The 24442-nt window shown below is 43.9% G+C and overlaps 1 protein-coding gene across 26 annotated transcripts in view, besides 1 other annotated feature; it reads right to left on the bottom strand.

Moving 5' to 3' along the window:
- NF2 (NF2, moesin-ezrin-radixin like (MERLIN) tumor suppressor) overlaps window positions 1–24442 on the bottom strand; it is a 95045-nt gene that overhangs the window by 52093 nt on the left and 18510 nt on the right. For 10 of the 26 annotated variants that reach the window (NM_016418.5, NM_001407065.1, NM_181832.3 and 7 more), the window contains exons 2-4: window positions 9632–9757; window positions 7296–7418; window positions 4223–4306 (exon numbers count right to left, since the gene is read on the bottom strand). In NM_016418.5, coding sequence (NP_057502.2) covers window positions 4223–4306; window positions 7296–7418; window positions 9632–9757 — 333 coding nt within the window. Of the gene's footprint in view, window positions 1–4222; window positions 4307–7295; window positions 7419–9606; window positions 9758–17734; window positions 17880–24442 lie in introns of those variants that run through there. The other 16 variants (NR_176267.1, NM_001407063.1, NM_181830.3 and 13 more) reach the window with 6 other exon arrangements.
- Window positions 15167–15666: an enhancer, noted in NCBI's record as "H3K4me1 hESC enhancer chr22:30026831-30027330 (GRCh37/hg19 assembly coordinates)". NCBI's record gives its function as "activates a minimal SCP1, AML or CMV promoter by ChIP-STARR-seq in naive H9 embryonic stem cells {active_cell/tissue: H9 hESC(naive)}" and the evidence as "EXISTENCE:reporter gene assay evidence [ECO:0000049][PMID:30033119]".

Here is a 24442-nt window from a genome sequence, read left to right as displayed (position 1 = left end):
AGAAAACAAGCTGAATATAATGGAAGGAACCAGTATGACTTACTGAAGAACTTAGACAAATGTGATCATATAAATGAAACTAGCCTTTAGTGAAAGGCAGTGGTTGCTACCCAAAGACCTCCCTCAAGCTAGACAGTGACAGGCAAGTGCAATGTGCTAACTTAGGCAGCCTGGACACTAGGGTTCCCATCCCAGCTCCACTCATTCTATTTGGCCTGAAATCCTCTCCATCGAGAAGTGGGCTAAAAATTTCATAAAAATAGGCTTAACATAAAAGTATTGTGAGTTTGCACAAGTCACAAATCCCTTTCTGAGCCTTAAATTCCTCATCTGCAAAACAGGCATAATACTCTCAAGCCTTGGCTTCTGGAAAGACTACACTGAGTGTCGCACAAAATATTCATTTGTATTGCTTTGGTAAAACTAGAAAACACTATGGGCATGTAAGATCTTATTAATATTATAATCAGATATCCTTTAACTATTAACCAGCAGTCCTAGAAACTGGAAGTATGTCATAGTAAGCCTTAGTTTCCCAAATGAAGACTTTAAGCCATAGATTACCTTTATTTGTAAGATCCTTAAAATTTACACCAGAAAAAATAGCTAGAACATCCTCCTCCATGTGAGCCACATATGTCGTCTGTGAATCACTTTCATCTCCAAATTAGTACGATCCAAATTAGCAGGGCTTTCCTACAGTGAAACCTGTTTAAGCAAACATCTGCTGGTTCACTGAAAAGTAATTTTTTTCTACAGGTGGCCTTTGAATTTGTGGCCCAAAAATCCATGGAAAGAAAATGTAGCCTTTGAGATGGAAGCCCTTCAAAGAGAGGTGGTGTCCTTGAGAGGCTGGGTCTGCTCTCGCTGGGGAGAAAGCGTGCGAAAAGGAACTCAACTCCAGGCCAGGAAGTGCTCGGATTTAATCAAAGTGCCAATGACTGCTTCATCACTGTCGGGGTGATACTGATTGAAAGGACACATTTTTCCTCTTACTAATATTCTTGATCAAAGCATAAAAGGAAGCATATGTTTTAGTTGAATGAGGGCCCATTTTCTGTTTTCTCAATTACTAATTTTTCAGGAAAGTAGAATATTGGAGGCACAAAATGCAATCTCAAAGCCATGAATTCTACCCTTCTGCTCTTAGCTTTGCCCAAGATTGTCTGAATGATCTTGGGCAAATCACTGAGGGCAGATACTTGCTTTAGTGCCTGCAACTATGAGATGGTCAACAACTCTCATGCTCTCTCCCCACCCTGGGCCTGATGAATACTCAGCAAATATTACATGAGCCATCAAATGATTAAATTGACTTTGGTGCTTCTATTGGTCTGACTAGCATGTATAGCCTTTTTTCCCCACAAATGACAGTTACTTCCTGGCTTTGATCTGAAATTGCATTAATCTACCCCAAAAAGTGAGTTAAGAGTATTTTATTATTTTTTCTAACCTTAAGGGAAATGGCTTCATGAACACCTTTAATTAAAAAGAAAAATAAGTGAAAAGATTATGTTTTAAAATCACACAAGTGCCCTCTCCCTCTCCCTCTCCCCATGGTCTCCCTCTCCCCATGGTCTCCCTCTCCCTCTCTTTCCACGGTCTCCCTCTCATGCCGAGCCAAAGCTGGACTATACTGCTGCCATCTCGGCTCACTGCAACCTCCCTGCCTGATTCTCCTGCCTCAGCCTGCCGAGTGCCTGCAATTGCAGGCGCGCGCCACCACGCCTGACGGGTTTTCGTATTTTTTTGGTGGAGACGGGGTTTCGCTGTGTTGGCCGGGCCGGTCTCCAGCTCCTAACCGCGAGTGATCCGCCAGCCTCGGCCTCCCGAGGTGCCGGGATTGCAGACGGAGTCTCGTTCACTCAGTGCTCAATGGTGCCCAGGCTGGAGTGCAGTGGCGTGATCTCGGCTCGCTACAACCTCCACCTCCCAGCCGCCTGCCTTGGCCTCCCAAAGTGCCGAGATTGCAGCCTCTGCCCGGCCGCCACCCCGTCTGGGAAGTGAGGAGCGTCTCTGCCTGGCCGCCCATCGTCTGGGATGTGAGGAGCCCCTCTGCCTGGCTGCCCAGTCTGGAAAGTGAGGAGCGTCTCTGCCCAGCCGCCATCCCATCTGGGAAGTGAGGAGCGCCTCTTCCCGGCCGCCATCACATCTAGGAAGTGAGGAGCGTCTCTGCCCGGCCGCCCATCGTCTGGGATGTGGGGAGCGCCTCTGCCCCGCCGCCCCGTCTGGGATGTGAGGAGCGCCTCTGCCCGGCCGCCACCCCGTCTGGGAGGTGAGGAGCATCTCTGCCCGGCCGCCCCGTCTGAGAAGTGAGGAGACCCTCTGCCTGGCAACCGCCCCGTCTGTGAAGTGAGGAGCTCCTCCGCCAGGCAGCCGCCCCATATGAGAAGTGAGGAGCCCCTCCGCCCGGCAGCCACCCCGTCTGGGAAGTGAGGAGCGTCTCCGCCCGGCAGCCACCCCGTCCGGGAGGGAGGTGGGGGGGTCAGCCCCCCGGCCAGGCCAGCCGCCCCGTCCGGGAGGGAGGTGGGGGGGTCAGCCCCCCGCCAGGCCAGCCGCCCCGTCCGGGAGGGAGGTTGGGGGGTCAGCCCCCCGCCCGGCCAGCCGCCCCATCCGGGAGGTGAGGGGCGCCTCTGCCCGGCCGCCCCTACTGGGAAGTAAGGAGCCCCTCTGCCCGGCCACCACCCCGTCTGGGAGGTGTGCCCAACAGCTCATTGAGAACGGGCCAGGATGACAATGGCGGCTTTGTGGAATAGAAAGGGGGGAAAGGTGGGGAAAAGATTGAGAAATCGGATGGTTGCCGTGTCTGTGTAGAAAGAAGTAGACACGGGAGACTTTTCATTTTGTTCTGTACTAAGAAAAATTCTTCTGCCTTGGGATCCTGTTGATCTGTGACCTTACCCCCAACCCTGTGCTCTCTGAAACATGTGCTATGTCCACTCAGGGTTAAATGGATTAAGGGCGGTGCAAGATGTGCTTTGTTAAACAGATGCTTGAAGGCAGCATGCTCATTAAGAGTCATCACCACTCCCTAATCTCAAGTACCCAGGGACACAAACGCTGCGGAAGTCCGCAGGGTCCTCTGCCTAGGAAAACCAGAGACCTTTGTTCACTTGTTTATCTGCTGACCTTCCCTCCACTATTGTCCTATGACCCTGCCAAAGCCCCCTCTGTGAGAAACACCCAAGAATGATCAATAAAAAAAAAAAAAAAAATCACACAAGTAAGACCAGGCATGGTGACTCAGACCTGTAATCCCAGCACTTTGGGAGGCCAAGGTGGAAGGATCACTTGAGCTCAGGAGTTCAAGACCAGCCTGGACAACATAGTGAGACCCCATCTCTATAAAAATACAAATAAAACATAAATAAAATAAAATCACACAAGTAATCAAGGAGCCCCAATTCTGGGGACAACATCTTGTGCTCTGGTGAAAGGCAGGGATCAGGGGAACCAAGAGAAGGTGATATATGACTGAAGTGAAAAATCTGAGGGACATGAAACTCCGTGGCTAACCCTCTCATCGGTCTTGTAAAAAAAAAAAAAAGGTCTATAGTGATTTAACGGAAGTGAACGATTTTCAGCTAACCAGACAGCTCAAGTGGGCTTGGTGGGCCACAGCACCTGCAGTGCTTAGCCACATGAACAGCTAGCATGTCAATCAGGGGCAGATGAAGCAGGGCATTCTCTGAAGGTGTAGTGTAGTGTCCACACACAAGGCAGCTTGTTTGCAAATGAGTTTGGAGTGAGGACCTGGGCCTTTCTGACCTAAAGGCCATGTTTGGCTAAAATTGGAGACCATAAATTCATTTTTCCTGGCTAATAGAAAGGTTGTACCACATGGTTGAGTTTATGGTTTAAAAAAAAAAAAGAAAAAAGGTTTTTCCAGTAAATGTCATAAACCACATGTACATAATGAGATTACACAGGAAATTCATCTTTCTGAATGAATTCACTTAGAATGAATTCTAATTCATTAGAACGATACTTATAATTTCTGCACACCACACACACACATACACACACACACACATACACACACAAGATTATACAAACACTGGAACAGTGACAGTGGTTCTTCAAGTCCACAAGTCCCATAACATCTCACTTTCTGGGGCAAGTCTCTCTGAAGTACAGAAAACCCAAAGAAAGAGAAGATAGGAGTGATCCCATGACCCAAATTAACGCCCAGGAAAAATACATTTTTCTTCTTTGAGCCTACCTTGGCCTGGACGGCGTAAGAAGCCAGGAGCACAGAAGCCTCAGGAGGGCAGTAGATCTTTTCATCTAAAATCTGCTTCTTTACCTGAAAGGAGCAACAAGGGAGACATGATACTCTGTGAGTGGAAGTGAGGTGTGTAGGCTGATCACAACAGATGGCCTCACGGCGTTCTAATGAGGGCTGCCAGAGCAGCCTGTTAATAATTTTCTGACAAAGGGTACAATTTTTTTTTTACTGATGCAGACAGGTGGAGAGTTCAGTCACAGAAGTTACTGGTATGACGGCTATGCATAAAAACCCCTTATCTCTTCTCTTCATGATCAATGCTGAAGAGTAAAAACGGTCTCTGTAGTTACAACAGAGGCTGTGTGACAGAGCGCTATGAACTCAAGAAGTGTCAAGAGCAGCTCTGGGGATGACTACAGCCTCAGCCCCTTTGAATATGCATGGCCCCAGAGGAAATGGATCTACTTTTAAGTATTAACACAAGACAAAAGTCACCAAGGCCACTGAGTTATGATTGCAGAAAAAACCATCACTCTCAACGTGCTGCTCTAAGGGAAAAGGAAGCAATAAAATTTGATCGATTCAACTTTTAAGTACACGTGAGGTCCAGGAAATATAATTCTTAAGCCATAATGTTGAATTAACATATTTCATTGCACTTAATTTTCTTAGAATGGTGCAACTTGGGATGTTCCAGACACAGAAGCAAGACAACTGCATGACGTGGCAGGGGGACACTGAAATAAACACAGCAGGAAAGCCAGCTCTCCTCTCACAGATGTCAACAGTCACCGGATTCATAAAAGCAGTAAATTTTGCCTTGCTCAGTCATAAAAATGCCTTAACATTTCAGTATGGGGAAAATCAAGTCAGTCACACAAGAGACAGGCAGTGCTTCCAAGTACTTACAAGAAAGCCATTTCTATAACATTAGGACATTCTGGGACCTAGGAGATTGTTAGGTGTTTACGTTCAAACACAAAAATTCTTCTTAGGTTTTAAAAGTGATTTTACATTCTTAGAGAGAAAATGAAACCTGAGATGTTTCTCAAGCAGTGCAACTTTCTAATCCCTTGGTTTCATTTCCAAAGAGAGGGGGGAAAAAGCAACGCTATAGAAAAACTGCAAGAACATCCCTTTTCTTTTGAGAAGGAGTTTCACTCTGGTTGCCCAGGCTGGAGTGCAATGGCGCAATCTCGGCTCACTGCAACCTCCACCTCCCGGGTTCAAGTGATTCCCCTGCCTCAGTCTCCCAAGTAGCTGGGATTACAGGCATGTGCCACCATGCCCGGCTAATTTTGTATTTTTAGTAGGGACGGGGTTTCTCCATGTTGGTCAGGGTGGTCTCAAACTCCTGACCTCAGGTGATCCACCCGCCTCGGCCTCCCAAATTGCTGGGATTACAGGCATGAGCCACCACGCCCAGCCTAAGAGTGTCCCTTTGATCTGCAAACATCAGAAATAAATTTGTCACCTCTTTTGCGCGTGCACACACACACACACACACACACGCCCCCCAGACCTTTTTTAAAAAGAATTTAGGGGGTTTTATTATATTTAACTTAATATTTGCTGACCACAATATACTGAGGCTGAAATTAATTACAGGAGGGCTATGTGACAGACTACCCAACTATCTCTGGGAAATCATGTAATTAATGCCCCTACTGCCATCTTTTACATTACTGAAACCTTTGAGCACACAAATAGCCCCAGTGCCAATCACTGCAACTGGCCATGAAACTGGGGAGCCACTCTGACCTGCAGTAAGAACATAAGTGAAACTGATAAGGTTTTCATCCTCAGACCAGTTCCCCTCCCTGTGCCTCTGGATGGTCAACCTGTAATTGTGAATTTCTTAATTTCTTCAATTCGGTGGGACAATTACTTATGGAATGCCTACTGTGTACTTAATGAGGCTTGCCTTTAAGGGGCTTACAATCTAATGAGGAATTAAGGAAGAAATAGGACAATTAGAGACACAGCATAGCATGAAGCACGATGTCTGAAGTACCACATATGGGGGACAAACCAAGTGTCACTAGAGCTCTGAAGTCCTCTTTTTTTTTTTTTTTTTTTTTTTTTAAGACAGAGTCTCACTCTGTCACCCAGGCTAGAGTGAAGTGACTCAATTTTGGCTCACTGCAACCTCCGCCTCCTGGGTTCAAGTGATTCTCCTGCCTCAGCCTCCTGAGTAGCTGGGATTACAGGCATGCATCACCATGCCTGGCTAATTTTTGTATTTTTAGTAGACATGGAGTTTCACCATGTTGGTCAGGCTGGTCTTGAACTCCTGACCTCGTGATCTGCCCGCCTCAGCCTCCCAAAGTGCTGGGATTACAGGGGTGAGCCAACCCGCCCGGCTGAAGTCCTTTTTTTTTTTTTTTTTTTTTTTTTTGAGACGGAACCTCACTCTGTTGCCCAAGCTGGAGTGCAGTGGCGCGATCTTGGCTCACTGCAACCTCCATCTTCCAGGTTCAAGTGATTCTCCTGCCTCAGCCTCCCGAGTAGCTGGGACTACAGGCACCTGCCACCACACCCGGCTAATTTTTGTATATTTAGTAGAGACGGGGTTTCACCATGTTAGCCAGATGGTCTCGATCTCCTGACCTTGTGATCTGCCCGCCTCGGCCTCCTAAAGTGCTGGGATTACAGGCCTGAGCCACCATGCCCGGCCAGTCCTCTCTTAATGAGAGCAGATTTTAAACTTTTGGAAGAACTACTGCTTTATAAGACTCTCTCTTTAGCCTTCCTTTGAAACTATTGAGTACTTTTAAGTTAGCTAGAAGAAAATAGGACCCATTTTCAAGGAGGTTTTAAGTTAGGTAGCTACTTGTATCCATTCTTCACCATCACACCTTCACAATTTCATCTGACACCAATTTTCATCACTCAAGTATAGTTCTGTTCTGAAGCCTTTTTTCCATTACAGAACCAAAGGGGCTGACCTTCCAGAGGTAGAATATTTTTGCAATACAAAGGTGTTTGTGGTCAACTCTGAGGCCAACTCTGCAACCACTCCTGGGCAAGTTCTCTCAGAACTGGGGGGTAGCCTTGACTGATGTACCTGTAAGAAGAATAAATGTTGTGTGATCTCCTGAACCAGCTCCTCTTCAGCATTCTCAGGATAAAATTTGGCCAAGAAGTGAAAGGTGACTGGTTCTTCCTTTGAAACATCATGATCCAGTACCTGCAGAATTGCAGAGCAAAAGACAAACACACTATATTGGCACTTCCTCCTGTGCTACCCTCAAAGAAGCCTTTGCAAGGCGTGCATTAAATTTTTTTCCCACTAAATTTATCACATTTCCTGAAAGTTGTGATTTTACAGTTTGAAGTATTCACAAAGTCACCTATAGCAAGAGGTAATATTCACTTCCTATGGTGTTTCTGAAACAAATTAATCAATAGCCCCAAGAAGTGAGCAGAGCTAGGATTAAGGCATAAATGTTCTCAGGGCCACAGAATAGTTAAAAACTAGAAATGTATCACTCAGCAGTCTTGGACACTGTCCTTTATGGTAGGTGGAAGGTTTTTTAATTATCTGAAGTAGTGGAATCTTCCTTTATTTCTTTTTTCTTGGTGCCTACTGCCAATATTTAGGTCCGTGATAGAATACGGCTTAGAGCGCTGGGCGTGGTGGCTCACACCTATAATCCCAGCACGCTGGGAGGCCACAGCGGGTGGATCACCTGAGGTCAGGAGTTCAAGACCAGCCTGGCCAACATGGTGAAACCCCATCTCTACTAAAAATACAAAAAATTAGCCAGGTGTGGTGGTGGACACCTGTAATTCCAGCTACTCGGGAGGCTGAGGCAGGAGAATCTCTTGAACCCAGGAGGTAGAGGTTGCAGTGAGCCGAGACTGCGTCATTGTACTGCAGCCTGGGCAACAAGAGCAAAACTCTGTCTTAAAAAAAAAAAAAAAAAATACAGCTTAGAGATGATGAACTAGATCATTATGAAGTCATCTAAACATTAACTGAGCAACAGAATAAAATGTGTCCATCATGGCAACCCTTTGTTTCAAGGAACCTCCAGAGATGCCCCACAAAATACTTGAAGCACAGTCTGTAAACCACTGCCTTTAAATCTTCTAACAATTCCATTCACCCCTGTAAAGCTTGAACCATCTGCTCTCCAGAGTGAATTTCAAGACATAAACACGCCATGTGACAGGCTACAAGGCTCCATTAACATGTGTCATGATGTATTTCCCTTGAGCAGCAAGTTCCACGGCTCCTGATGCCCCCAGTCTAATATCCATTTGGCCTACACTCAGCTATCATTAAAATTCACTTTGCTAAGAATCATGAAAAACATACAAAAAGTTTTGCTGTCTTTGACACATAACTCTCCATGCTCCTGCCCAAATTCTAGATGGCAATGCCAAGGAGATTCAAAATCTGGTCTACGACACCCTCACTGACAGTGGCCCCCAGTGGCACTTAGATGCTCATGATCATTGGGAATTACCATTGAACTTACAACCAGCAGGGATTCCCATGTGATTATTTAGATTACTGTGTACATATGTGAACACAATTCGAACACTTAAGCTTTGAGTCAAACTGGTAAAAAAAAAAAAAATAGGAAGCTTTCATTATTTATTATGCTCAGGTAGGCAACTGGAGGGGGCATCATTTGGGGTAAGAATTAGACATTGACTTACTTTGAAGTTCAGGTGTCTTTTAGGAGTTACTGACAAAAGCATATGGTCCTGCTCCCCGCCTGCCTTTCATGGCTAGGTAGGCAGGTCAGTAAGCAAGTGTATCCTTGTGTGAACATATGAACCCATGCAGAGGGCAGTTCCTTTAGGCAATATTCATTTCCAAGCCACATTAAAATTGCCAGGAGCCCAGCTTTCTTGGCCATGTGTCAGAAGCCCCAGAGAATCCTGAGGACAAAATGGACATTCTTTCACCCTGGGGACCAGGCACTCTCTATTCCTTAGATCATATTAATGATTACTTCATGTCAGACTATGGTGTTCCTCAAAAAGACTTTAAAAAATTCCCTAAAGAACACAAGCCCCAATACTCTCTAAAAGACACAAATTGGTTATTTTTAAGTATATGAAGATAACAGTAATTTTTATTCATGAAGTTTTTATTCATAAACTGAAAGGCATAAAGCCAGAAGCAATCAGGCTGGTAACAATGGGTAAAGAAGCCAGGGCCAGCAGCAGTCTAATCCTGGTAACTTCTGCTTGCCCAGGAGAGCCTGTGAGGAGAAGGAAACTGGTAGCATCTCTACGTCCTGCTTTCTGCATGACTTAATTCAGGAATGTGCCCCCTTCTCTACTATACAGCTACAGCGCCCCAGTGATGAGCTAGGCGCCTGCTCAGGGAAAAACTGGAAAGCTCACGTCAGCCCCACCAGTTTCATCGAGTTCTAGCCCAACCTTCTTGTCCATTTTGAGCCAGGCCACTGTGTCCTTGATTGTGTACTGCAGTCCAAAGAACCAGGTTTCTCGGAGCCCCAGAGTCCGGCACACCAAATCAAAGAGGTCCTTCCCTTTCCACTTCATCTGCAATAACAAACCAATGGGGAAGGACACTGTGAGCAAAAATCATTAATAAAACCTTTTCTCTGCACTCTCCACTCTCAGGTTCCAAAACGTGGGGATGACACTAAGACAGCTGATGAGGACTGAATTCCTAAATAATTTTAAAGCTTCCTTTACAAACCCATGAGTGGGAAAATACCAATTAGAGCTTAATGGCTTAATCACTGCAAAGCATACACAATACATCCCTTGGACAGTTCCTTACGGATTTTAACATCTCCAAAGCTGCTAATTTAGGAAAGCTGGTAAATAAGCATCCTCATTTAGGAGAGTCTAGCCTCTTAAGTTAACTCGGGGAGATGGCTAGCTTCTAGGGACATTCATTCCCTTGAAATTTTGTTGTTGATTTTTTTTTTAAATCATTACTTTGCCCTTTGATAAAAGGCTAGTATTCCTTTAAATAAGACTGGTTTTACTACAAGTTTTTTTTTAATATAAAGAAATCATAATCAAAGTCATAAATCATGGAGAAAAAGAACCATGAGAGACCAGACAGTCCAATCACAGGTCTGTCCTGTCAAGGATGCCTAACTGAGGCCAAAGGGGAAGCTACTCACCCAGTCACCCAGAGCAAATTCAAACTCCTGGTATCTAAACCCAGGTGACGAATAGATATCAATATACTGTAGTGTGTTTATCCTATAGCCTCACTTTCAAAAGAACCTGAAGCAATGGCAATCTCTTTTCTCAGCTATTCCATCTGCTATGTGGAAAAGCAAGTTCAATGTCTTAAGGGAAGAGAATGGCTGGCAACTTAGTAAATGTTGCCACCTAGTGGCTTTCAAGTTAAACCACCAGGATGTTCCCATACAACCCCTTAGTTGCTGCTTGCCCCCTCCTTGCCCCAACCACCCCTAAATATCAGATGGACATTCAAATACAAACTCGAGTGCATTAGGATCATATGAGATGCATCATAGAAATGGTGGTCATGAAAGAGTAATCTTTCGACAGACATGGGAAAAATGAGACCACTCAATTGCAGAAGCATCCGTCCCTTCCTGCCCTCATTAGAAATCTCCACTCAAAGTCTTGGCACACTGAAGATGTATATAATGAAAAGGAATGAAAAAAATTCTTAGGCAGCCGGGCGTGGTGGTTCACACCTGTAATCCCAGCACTTTGGGAGGCTGAGGCAGGCGAATCATGAGGTCAGGAGATCGAGACCATCCTGGCCAACATGGTGAAACCCTGTCTCTAGTAAAATACTAAAAAATTAGCCAGGTGTGGTAGCGCATGCCTGTAGTCCCAGCTACTCGGGAGGCTGAGGCAGGGGAATCACTCGAAACCGGGAGGCGGAGGTTGCAGTGAGCCGAGATCATGCCACTGCACTCCAGCCTGGCGACAAAGCAAGACTCCATCTCAAACAAACAAACAAAAAATCTTAGGGTTTAGAGACTTGCTATAAAACCAAGAAGGGAAAAATAAGTTAGACCTCTGATACCTGATTGGTTTTTGCTAAAACCTGATTCTACAGGGGAGTTTTCAAGTAGGCTTTTCATTTTTAACACATATGAATGAACAGTGGGTTCTCTACAAGGTACTCAACAGGAAAGCCCATCCCTTCTCTGTGTTTGCAGTCAAAGTCAAGCAAAGCAGCAACCTAGATGGAAGAATATCAGGACCACAGCAGACAAGTAGCTGAGATGCATACTGGCTTTTATCTTTTAGCAGGGCCGTTTCTCCTATCTGTCCTTCAACTTCTGCCCTGTCTCCTCTCTGACTATAGTGGGGCCACTGGAACACTATAAAGATTGAGGTCTTTAGGGATTATTTTGAGAAGAATAAAAGAAAATGATGAGTTTTATTTTTAACAGATGATCTCCTTCCTCGTTTTTAAGGCTGAGTAATGGGCACATCCATTTCCCAGTCTGACAATAGGACAAAAAGCTTTTTAATTCACCAAAAGTTTTAATTCCTACAGGCAGACTTCACTGAAGAAATGTTATTTTGGAAAACTAGAAGTTTCAGGATGCTGATTATCCTCTTGTCTCTATTTTAAGGCAGCTCTAGTATATAAATTATAAATGACTACCTTGCTACAAGATAATGTAACATTAAAGAACAGGCATTAACTTGGAAAAGGTAAACACCCAAGGGTTGAGAAGATCAAGGTAACGATTCCCAATCTGCCATAACTCATGGTCATGGCTGGGCTGGGCTTTGGCAAGAAGGGGCTGTCTGTAAGTGGGGTGTGCAGTGCAGAGAAACAAAAGCTGCCAAGGGAATGATGAGTGAATTTCCTGACATGGGAGTTTAAATTCTCCAGCATAAAATTGTATTAATGCAGTTTTCCTGTATTCCCTTCTACTTTGTTTTTAAAATGCAAAACTGTCTTTGTTGAATGCAAAAAGACAATGTATTTGTCCCCTTGGCACTTGCAATACAGTGAGAAGTGCATCAACTCTGACACCAATTCAGAATGCCCTACTTAGATTTTTAACTTTGACACAAAGGATCGTAGACTGTCAAGAGTTGGAAATGAGCATGAGTAATTACCTAATGTAGACTCATACCCTTTTTGTGCAAATAAGGAAACTGAGTCACAGGATTCTTTGCCAGCTGCCAAAGCATACACTGGCCTTTTTCACGGTGATCTAACATAGGCAAACCGCAGACCCTAGAGTGCCTCTTTTCCTGTTCTGTGGGGTCCCTTTGTTCTTGCTGTCCAGCACTCCCCAGACACCTTTTCCAGTAAGTAACCAGTGTTTGAAACAAAATCCATTCTCAGAAGAGTCAGATATTGCTCGTTTACAGCTCAATGTGAATTAAGCCTCTGTTACCTCCCACTTATTCTTTCAACAAGGATTATAGAGCACACCCTACATGCCAACCAATGTTAGACACTGATGCTACAAAATGGTGGAAGCAGTGTTCTGCAGGAGAAACAGGCAAGACCTAGGTCAGAGAAGGCTTTAAAGAGCAAGTGAGAGTTAGATGCAGGAGAGAAGGAAATAAGTCTTTTTTTAAAAGTCATGCTTTCTACAGGAAACTGCAAGTCATCTTGTAAAGCTTAAACAGACAGGAGGTGGCATGGCGGGAATGGGGCTCCATTTGGGACCAGGTGGCTCAACTTCAGCCAAAAGCTGCAAAGTCTTTGAAGACCCTTGAGCAGACGAGTCATAGGCTCCAATCTGCAATCTGGATGGGCTCTGACAACAGGGTGGAGTATGAGTTGAACAAAAGAAGCCCTGGATCAAGAAGGCCAGAAAGTAGGCCAACCCCTGACATAAGGAAGGCAGTAGAAGGGAGAGAAGGCAGCCTGAGAAACGGAAAAGAGGCAGAGTCACAGAACAGGTGCCTGAACAGGACCAGAGGAGACAGAATTAAGAGGGACACCTGTGTGTCTGGCTTGAGTACCAGGTGGTTCCACTAAAGGAGAGATGGAATCAAGGAGAAGCAGCAAATCTGGCAGGGATAGACCAGCAATTAAGTTTTAGACAAGATGAGTGAAGGTGCCTGAGGAAACCAAGTAAAGACGTTCAAACATATTTGATTTAAAGCCCTAATTCCACTTATAAAATAAAATTTTGTCTTTAAGCAATTAAGAAGTCTTTCTGTTTGGTTAAATCTAACCTCAACATGTTGCTACCTACATCAGGTTCCACTTTCCAACAAGCCCTTCCCCAAATGCATGAGGTTTGCTCAGTCTTCCTAATTTGGGTTTCTACTTCTTTAAAAACAAGCGCCATTGGTCACAGTTGCTCTGGGTGGTTCTCAGGACACCCTGGGAAAAGAGGTCTTGGGGTGTGGACGGGACTTCCAGGTGTCAGCCAACTTGCCAGAATATGACCAAGCTCATCTTCAGTGTCATCACTCATCCACTATACCATGCTGATGCTGTGAAGTGACTCACTGTCCTCTGAACATCTCCCGAGACTGTAGGTGCCTCAGCACAAGGGCAGTATTAGTCCTCTTTCTGCTCCCCACAGTGCCCAGGCAAGTGTGTACATACAAGACATGGCAAACAATGGCTGTCCACAGGACGGACTGTGGACGGACTTGACTACTTCAAAAACCCAAAACTCAAAGACTTAAAGCCAGTTAACTCCCGCTCACCCACCTCTTCCACAAATAGTTAGTGAACACACACATTGTGTCCAAGCACCGCCCAAGGTGCAGGGGACAAATGGGGAAAAAGAAACAAGTCTCTACACTCAGAGGACTAGGATATGAACTAGCTGGGAAAAGATAATCACCTCCTTCATCGCACACATAAAAACCCCAGGAGTGGGCTTTCAGCACTATAACACTTGTGAGTGCCACAACAGGACACCCAGCGGCTGTGGGAACCTCCTATCCTGGGCAGGTAGGGAAATGACATCTAAACTGGCTCATGGTAGAAAAGAGGAACCAAGTGAAGACTGGGCTTGGGGAAAGAGGAGCAAGCAGGTAAGTATGTTCCAGGCAGAGGGAATAGCATATGCACAAGTCTAGAGGCAAAAAAGAGGTCAGTCGTCCTTACAGGAAATGGGAGTAGGATAGTTCAGTCTGGCTGGAGGATAATGCTATGTTTCCAAAAGGACCGAAACTACCATCTAAAATCAAGAACAAAAAAAACAAAATAAAAATAAATACATAAAATCAATTCTTTGTCAACTAACTCTACCTATCTCATCTGAACCAAAAAACACAGAAAGTTATCTGGTGACCATTTTCTCCATTCTCCCAAGTAGGGAACACACTAATACCATTCTAGAAACAAGAGAGAAGTTAAATTGTTACCTAAGATGGATGCCTCAGGACATGAGGGCTTAATCTTTCCAGGAACTAGTCTAAAAGGAATATAGATAAGTGATGGTTGTCTCCATTGGTATGAATCTCTGCACTGTCACTGTGTGACCTTGGGCAAGTGACTGAACTTCCTTGTGCTTTGCAAAGGGGATAATAAACAGAACTCGTCTTAGCAGATTGATCTAAGGATTAAGTGCATTGATTCATTTAAAAACCCTAAGAGAGTGCTTGGCCCATAGCAAATAAATACTCAGTAAGGGGTAGTTATTGTTAATTGTAACTCTGCCACCTCTCCTTAGATTCTCAAGTGGCACTGTTTAAAGCCTCCCAGCCCTGCTTCACACCAAGGATGATGGATGACAGATCACAAAGGGCACCATCAATTCTCACTGAGCTAACCATACTATCAGTCATTTGACAAACCTTTATTGAGCATCCACTACGTCCTGGTCATTGTGCTCAAAACAGGAGAAAAATGATGAATTGAGGACAAGACACTGTCCCTGTTCATGTCTGACAGGGAAGACAGGTAAATGGATCACAAAAATGCAACCTGGTAAGTGCTAACAGAACAGGGTACAGTGGCAACACAACTCGGGCCTGGGTCTCCGGGAGTAAGGTCTTTCCTGAGGAGAGATGCTGTTTGAGCTGTATCTTGAAAGCCAGGGGGGTAGTTGAGCTGTGGTGAAGGGGCTGACAATAGGGAGGTCACGCCAGCCTGAGGGAACAGCAGGTCTGCCACTTGGGTCCAAGCTGTTGCAAAGTGAAGGAATGTTCTTTGCACTTTTCTAGTATCTGACAAACAGCATAATTATCCTATCTGCAGTACTGAATGTTCAATGCAGTACTGAATATGCAGCTTCAGCCCAGTGCGTGTGACAATTCTGACTCTCCACGCTGATTAGGAACTGGGTTGTTCAGTCACTGATTCGAAGCAATGATGCATCCTGCAACAATACCTGTGGGGCTCCAAGAACCTAGGACTAGTGGGATGAGTCTCATGTTTATTTTCTGGTTAAAAAATGTTCTTTTTGGATAACTGATGGCACGTAACGCTTTCAGGCCCTGCACTCGTGCCACTTGAGGGCCTTTTTGTTAGGGTTTATCATTTTTCCTCAACAGGTTGCCAAAAGAACAGCTCCTGGTTCTGATTAAATGCTCATTTAACCCCATCGCTTTCCACGCAGCCAAAGTGTTCAAACTGCTCTGGATCCACCACGGTTCCCTGCCTCATCTCAGCCTAGTGACGAAGAGGGAGGCTAAGAGGCAGATGCTCATTTTGCAGAAGGAAAGAGAGAGGTGGAGGGCGTGAGAAAGGTGACTTGCGGGAAGAAGAAAGAGAGAAAGGAGCACAAATGTGGACTCCAATGCCTGGAAGCTCCCTTCCACAGACCTCCTCCTCAAGGTGCCCTTCAGGCATAGAGACTAATAGGAGGAGTCTGGAAGTCGGATGCTTCTCGCCTTTGTGGCTGTGCTCACCCATTACTTTAACAGGCTGCAGTGCTATTTCATAGATATATACTTGTGCCTATATCATGGATAGATGTGTATGAACTTTATAAACAGGACTAAGTGCTATCAGCTTGCTATTTTTTTTGTAGGAGCTGGATTTATGAGCTTTACCCAGAGTGAAGGGCTTGTAATTTATCAACCTAGAATGTTTTAAGTAAATAGCACTAAGCACTTATGTTCCACAGCAGGAACGTAGCTGGAATGCAGTACTTTTCTGTTATAGGAAGCAACCAGCACCAATAACCTGCAGGACTGATTGAGTTCTATTAACCAGGGAAGCATTAGGAATAACATCTACTGAACAGCCATCTTGCAACTGGCCAGGTTGAGACTCAACCTTAAAACTGCTATTTGTTTTTTGCTTTGACAGCTGCATTTCTCCCACTGTTTTCTTTGGGACATACAGTCATCAGCAATCAAATCCTAGTACCTGCTGATACAACAGTGCGGGGTGAGTAAGAAACCAGACCCATGACAGGAAAAGGCCACAGTTTGAAAAGGACAACTTTCTTGAAGAAAGTGAACTGAATTTGGCTACTATATATGAAATGCCTAGGTATTAGAACCTATGGAGAAATGTTGGCTTTAAAGAGAATACTAAAATGTGGAAAAAGCTAAGAGAGAAGCAATATTCCCTTTCATAGGGGTCTGGTGGGCTAAATTATCAGCCACACGAAGAATGCCGTTTCAACGGCTGTCTCCTCTGCAGAAAATGAAAGAGAATCGACAAACTCAGCATTCACTTATCAGTTTCTTCTAATTAGCTCACAAGCTGCCCTAGCATTTGCCATAAAAATTGTCAAAAGGTTAGCTCCCATACAGATAGAGCAACAAAAGGAACGGCACCACCCCAGGCTCAGGACATGTGCCACGTGTCTGCCGTTATTTCAGAAATGGAAAACAAAGGATGATGTGATCTCCCCTCTCAATGTTTATCTATAACTGACTTCTGCAGCCATAGCTGGCCTAAGAGAACAGGTTTATAGGAGACTTGAGAATTTAAGATGCTAATATACCAGATCCAAACCTAACCTGAATACAACTTTTGTCTGTTTTGAAAAATAGAGGCCAAATACCTCAATTTACAAGAAAAACACAATGGAAAGTTATAAAAGTAATTTTACTGTACAGTAAGTGAATAATAAATTCCATTAAAATCTATTTTGATTAAGCGAAGAAGATAAAAAAGTGCAGTAATATATGTCTGACACTGATAATCTCAATTCAGGGTATGGTATCACCACACAACAAAAGCTGTTCTTGTGTCTCATGATTAAACCGCAAAACCATCATGCCGTTTCCTTTCAAAATTAAAGGATACACCACACCTCAGCCATTATTCTCAACATGAGGGGAAAAGAGATCCACCAAATAGAAATAGATCACAGGACAACACCTGTGAAAAGTGTGGGAAAAAAAATAGATCACAGCAAAAAGAGGGGAGTGGGGAGAGAGAGAGACTTTTTTCCTCTGCTGTACCAATCCTGAACCCCACATCCTTCATTTAAATCTGGGCAAGATCTCACAAACTTGGAGGCCAGGCGCAGTGGCTCATGCCTGTAACTCCAGCACTTTGGGAGGCCGAGACAGGTGGATCACCTGAGGTCAGGAGTTCGAGACCAGCCTGGCCAACATGGTGAAACCCCGTCTCTACTAAAAATACAAAAACTAGTTGGGCGTGGTGGCGCATACCTGTAGTCCCAGCTACTTGGGAAGCTGAGGCAGGAGAATCGCTTGAACTTGGGAGGCAGAGGTTGCAGTAAACCAAGATCACGCCACTGCACTCCAGCTAGGGTGACAGAGCAAGACTATCTCAAAAAAAAAAAAAAAAAAAAAAAGATGTCACAAACTTGAAAGCTCCTCTTTGCAAAAAATCCCAACTGTAATCTCTTGCCCTGTCAGTTTCTGCCATAATCAACTACAGCAAGTAATTTTCTTCTCCCAGTTCTCCAATCATCTCTGTTATTATGCCAAATCTATTTAATTACTGCCTTCAACTCTTCACCAATTTCTTCCTCCCTCCTTCAACCAATTACCCTACCTTATTACAACCCAGCCTATGTCCTCCCATGTCAGCAAACTTATGTGCTTCCATTTATTTGTAACTAGACCTTTCTAAGATCTATCCCTTTGTCTCCCTGCTGTCCATGTCCCCCAATGCCACATACATGAATCAGTATGGGCTTTACACATATTGAAAAATGAGGTACTTGTCTTTCCCCAAGTTTTCTGTCTTTCCTCCAGTTCTGCAGATCACAAACTCCTTGAAGGCAAGGGTGTACACACACACACACACACACACACACACACACACACACACACACAGATTAAGTCTCCCAGAACCCTGGCAAGTGCTGCATAATCTGTGGATACTCCATAAATGCTTGATGCTTGTGGTTGGTTGACGATGTTGATGATAATCATGATAACTAGATGAGGCTTCTGAGCAGAACAGTCTTCCAATTAATGATTGCAATGAAGCAAGAATTTATGACACTCGTTATTAAAAATGTAATTGCATAATTAGGCCTTAAGGTATATATTTTACCCCTTTGGTGAAACATACTGATTTCCTCTCTCTAAAAATACCTTGGCAAGGAAATCTAAATCTCAAACAACCAAAGAAGAAAATTTTCCACAGAACAAAGGAGACTAGTAAGAAACAAATCACAGCACCTTGGGAAGCCACAAAATGGAGCTTTTAAACTCTGGTAAGTCTTTCAAAACCAAATGAATTACAGTTTTTTAGGGGAAAAAAAGGCCTTATGCTTGCAGTTTCTGGCATCTTTCCCGCTGAAGTGCAGAGCAGTTATGGGAGCGGGAGGAACCCAGCAGGGAGGTCTGTATCCTAGATTCTCTGCCTCAACCACACACAAGTCTATGACTTGGGTGTGCCATGCAGCTCAACCGGGCCTCAGTTTCTTCATTTGTAAATCTCTTATGAGCCATGCAATCACCATATTTTACTATGCTGTAAACAAAGAAGATTCACTTCAAAGTTGACTGACAGATGACAAAGCAAAAAGAAACAATACAACCATCATGCTATGAAAGCAATACAGTCCCCACAAAAGCAAACACGACAATATCTTTGGAATTTAGCTCACAACATGAGAGCAATCATAGCTCATATAGTCAAACAGCTATAAAACACCCAAACCCGCTGTGCTGGGTAAGTCACTTAACCTCTTTGGGTCTCGGCTTCCATAATCATCAAGTGGTCTTCAGGATTAACACCACTCTCTGAGTCTATGAGCTTGACATGACTTTGTATAAACCATGTAGCATTTTTCATTGCTACGATAATTTTCTTTTGATCCTTTAACATCTCATTCTGTATCTTAAAATCATTTTCAGGGATGTAAATGACTTCACCTTTAGTTTATGTGTGGTTTCACATTCTTTTCCCTCATTCAGGGTCTGCTATTACGTTCCTTACTCCTAATAATCATGAGTTGACTGTATAATGATGAACTCTCTGATGTAGTAAAATTGGGAATGATAATGCTGCTGAAAAATAGAAGTTCTTATCACCTAGCATGTTATTGATATTCAGTGATTGGCAATGATTACAAATGTGTGATATACTGAGAATAATTTTGCAGAGCACTACAAATAGGAAACAATAGTAAATTCAGCACAAATAAGGCACAAGGTTAAATTTCAAATGCCTAAACATCAAGTACAACTAGCAGATTACGAAACACAACCCCTGACTAAGTATCAACCAACTGGTTACTCCTGCCCTGGACAATGTAAAAATTGTGGTTAGTATGTAACAATGCATTCCTTCAAAAAAGCTCCAGCACAACAGAGCTAGAGCATGATCCATTCATGTGAACTAGCTTCTATTGAACCCAGATGTTTGCCTGGAAAGAAATTTTGAATATTCTCTGTTTCTAGCTTGACCTTTTGATTAAGTCTCATGGTCATCAATGATAATAAAACTGACTTTAATAACATTAGAAGGTACAGGCATGAGTGGATAGGACTGGTAAAAATATCTGCAGATGGGGCTGGGCGTGGTGGCTCGCACATGTAATCCCAGCACTTTGGGAGACCGAAGCGGGTGGATCACGAGATCAAGAGATCGAGACCATCCTGGCCAACATGGTGAAACCCTGTCTCTACTAAAAATACAAAAATTAGCTGGGCGTGGTAGCAAGCACCTGTAGTCCCAGCTACTCGGGAGGCTGAGGCAAGAGAATCGCTTGAACCCAGGAGGCAGAGATTGCCATGAGCTGAGATGGCGCCACTGTACTCCAGCCTGGTGACAGAGTTAGACTCCATCTCAAAAAAAAAAAAAAAAAAAGTCTGCAGATGGATGAGAACTACCGTGGGCTGAAGACTAACATATTTATGAGACTGATTTAATCTCAAAATCAATATGATTAAGCAAGTAGGGAGATGCACTGTTGGTGAATTTAAAACCACAGATCAGTCGAGATACATTTAGTAATTACTTTGGGCTTCAGTTTTAAGTTTTATCTGAATGTCAAACTATCAAAACTATTGAAACAAGAAGACTAAAACAGGCAAGGTGGAGGGAAAAGCTATAAGCAACATAACTCACTAAGAGAAAGTTTATATGAAGTTTTCAAAGCTCGGTCCAAATTTGGCAAAGAAGCAAAAAAGAGAACAGTGGCAAAAGAGTTGGAAGAGAAAAGGCTGTCTTTAAAAATGATGCAGTCTGGCACCACCTAGTGGTGCCACACAGATTCCTGCACTAGGACAAGCACCTTGTGTCAACATGAGTGACTAAAGATTCCATTAAAAATTTTTCCCTGAAGTCAGCACTACTTTGGTAATAAATTTTGACACGCTAAAAATGTCCTAAACATGTGGATTTAGAATCTAAATTAGACAAAGCACAGACAGGAGGACAGAACACATCATCCTGTAACAAGAATTGAGAAGCCTCGTCACCAGCTGGCTAGAAAGATTAGCAGCTCTGAGAAAACTCAATTCTGGGTTTTTAAAACCTCAAACGCTTTAGTTTATGAAATTAAAAATAAACAAGCAGCAAAAATGTTCTTGGACAGGAATGCAAAACTAGCATGAATAACTGGAGAAGTCATCAAAAACAAAGAAAAAAGAAAAATTTCAATATGACACACTAGGGACAAAAGAATGCAGAATAATTAACTATGGCAGAAATCCGAAAAGAATCCTGCTATCACCGTGGACATCAAGCTAAATAGAGATTGTATTACTTAGCATGTTACAAAAAAGAAGATCTGGCCGGGTGCAATGGCTCGTGCCTGTAATCCCAACACTTTGGGAGGCCGAGGAGCGTGGATCACGAGGTCAAGAGATCGAGACCATCCTGGCCAACATGGTGAAACCCCGTCTCTCCTAAAAATACAAAAATTAGTGGCGCACGCCTGTAGTCCCAGCTTCTCGGAAGGCTGAGAAAGGAGAATCGCTTAAACCTGGGAGGCAGAGGCGGAGGTTGCAGTGAGCCGAGATCTCACCACTGCACTCCAGCCTGGCAATAGAGCAAGAAAAGAGAAAGAAAGAAAAAGAAAGAAAGAAAGAAAGAAAGAGAGAGAGAGAGAGAGAGAAAGAAGAGAGAGACAGAAAGAGGAGAGAAAGAGAAAGAAAGAAAGAAAGAAAGAAAGAAAGAAAGAAAGAAAGAAAGAAAGAAAGAAAGAAAGAAAGAAAGAGGACCCTTCAACAAGAACATGGCATAAGGTGAGTCCATTTTATTTGGACTAATTATAGTTTAGAGGGTCTACAATTACAAAGGCATGGACAATCTGAATAAGGTTCAAAGAAAATGAAGGCAATGATTAAAGGAGAAAATTCACAGTGCTTCTGGCATGAGACACTTCCTGTTCCCACACTCCCAGCCCATGACAACATAGATAGGTAACATTTATCAAATGCTCACTACGGGTCAGGCCCTGAACCAAGTGCCTGTAAAGGTCCACCTCATTCATGTCTCAAAACAACCCTGGCCAGGCACGTTGGCTCACACCTGTAATCCTAGCACTTAGGGAGGTCAAGGCAGGAGAATCACTTGAGGTTAGGAGTTCCAGGCCAGCCTAGCCAACATGGCAAAACCCCATCTCTACTAAAAATACAAAAATTAGCTAGGCGTGGTGGTGCACTCCTATAATCCCAGCTACTCAGGAGGCTGAGGCACGAGAATCGCTTGAACCCGGGAGGCAAAGGTTGCAGTGAGCCGAGATCGTGCCACTGCACTCCAGCCTGGGCAACAGAGGGAGATTCCGTCTAAAAACAAACAAACAAAACAAAAAAAACCCTATAAAAAAGATACTATTATTCTCATTTTATAGATGCAGCAACTGAGGTTTAAAGAGTTAAGTTCAAGGTCACTTGGGAAGCAGGTAGCAGAGGCAGGGCTTTTCCCAGGCCAATTTACCCCTTCCATCAGGGCTGTAGCTCTTATTCTTTAAGCAATATTCTTCCTGTCCTCTAGCAGACTTCCTCATGCCTATACACTCAAGTCTTGAGATGACTTCCTACCAAAGCAGGAAATATGAAAGGGAGAGGAGCACAGTGAGACTCTTCTGCCCAGATCACCTAAAATAAGACGCTAAAGCTGAGGGCCTTTGAATGTGAGTTCTTCCCCTCATCTTTCAGAAGAACTGAGGCCTGGGGGAAATAAGTGATGCGCCCAAGGTCACACGGTGGAGCTCTGCCTAGAAGCCTGGTGTTCAGACATCGGTTTAGGGATCTTGATGATTTTACACAAGTAAAACGATGCAGGAACCAGACAAGAGAAAGTGCACTGACTTCCTGAGCTCAACTCTGGCCAGCTTGATCCAACTTCCCTTCTGCCTGACTGACTTCGGAGACTGAGGACTGGCTTTGGACCTGAGAATCTCCTGAATCTTGAGCCTAGCAGGTCTTCTGCTCATTCTTGGTCACAGAACACCCTAATCTCTAGATTCACTAGATGCTTACATCTGCCTAGTTTTGTCCCAACCCCCAGCAAGTCCCACTGCTGTTCAGGTTTCAATGTGATACCTTGCCCAAAGCGTTTGCCTTCTAATTGTTTCCTACTTCCAACCTCTCTCTCCCTACCCCAAACCCCAAACGTTCCAAATCATTTTGCATGCCAACCACTTTAAATCACACTTCTAGTAAAAACTTCAAAGCTCTTCATCGCATCTGATGAATACAAGCCTCTTTAACCTGGGCTTCATGAGCCTCCAATATCTAGCTTGAAGCTACCAATTCACACACATCTCTAGCTGGGCATGTTGGCTCATGCCTGTAATCCCAGCACTTTGAGAGGCTGAGGCGGAAGGATCGCTTGAGCCCAGAAGTTCCAGACCAGCCTAGGCAACATAGCGGGATCCCATTTCTTCAAAAAAATTAGCCAGGTATTGGTGGCATGTGCCTGTAGTCCCAGCTACTTGGGAGGCTTAGGCAGGAGAATCACTTGAGCCCAGCAGGTCAAGTCTGTAGTGAGCTGTGATAGCACCACTGCACTCCAGTCTGAGTGAGACCCCATCTCGAAAAAAAAAAAAAAAAAAAAAAGGCCGGGCACGGTGGTTCACGCCTGTAATCCCAGCACTTTGGGAGGCCGAGGCAGGCTGATCACAAGGTCAGGAGATCGAGACCGTCCTGGCCAACATGGTGAAACTTCGTCTCTACTAAAAATACAAAAATTAGCCATGTGTGGTGGTGCACACCCATAATCCCAGCTACTCAGGAGGCTGAGGCAAGAGAATTGCTTGAACCCGGGAGGTGGAGGTTGCAGTGAGCAGAGATCACGCCACTGCACTCCAGCCTGGGCGACAGAGCGAGTCTCTGTCTCAAAAAAAAAAAAAAAAAAAAAAAAAAATACAGGGTCTTCCAAAACTGAACTGTCAGTGAGAGGGAAGCGGATTGTAAAAGTCAAAGAAACAATGTCGTCTGAACAGTTAACTAACTTTTCAAAATCCATACATGAAAGAGTCTCAGAATAAAGATGTTACCAATTGCTATCTAGGTGGGCATACCAAATATTATAAGACACCAGGCTGAATACAGGCAGGAGCATTCTGACTATGTTAAATATGCAACTAGACAATGCTTAACTGTTATAACATAAGCCTCATTTTAAGCCAAAGGTAAGGAATTCTCATTATATCATGAGCAAGTGAAAATGATTCACTTACAGAAAATGTCCACTTGATTCAAAATGACAAACTAGACACTGAGGTAATGTAGCACGGATCGTTAGTCATGTCATTCATCCGGCAAAAATGTAAGCCACTGGCAAGTTTACAAAATGCTTTTGAGATAGTATCATACACCAAATGCAATAAAATAATGCCATAGGCAAATAGTTGTTAAGTTGAGGAAGTCCTTCAAATGATCTCTTCTTTCCACTTTCTTTTTCCTGTTTACCAAATACCTAAGTTCTCTCCAGGTTTCTAACTT

This window comes from Homo sapiens, chromosome 22 (genome assembly GCF_000001405.40).
Source record: "Homo sapiens chromosome 22, GRCh38.p14 Primary Assembly".
NCBI classification, from domain to species: domain Eukaryota; kingdom Metazoa; phylum Chordata; class Mammalia; order Primates; family Hominidae; genus Homo; species Homo sapiens.
This window is presented reverse-complemented; position numbering and strand designations above follow the sequence as displayed.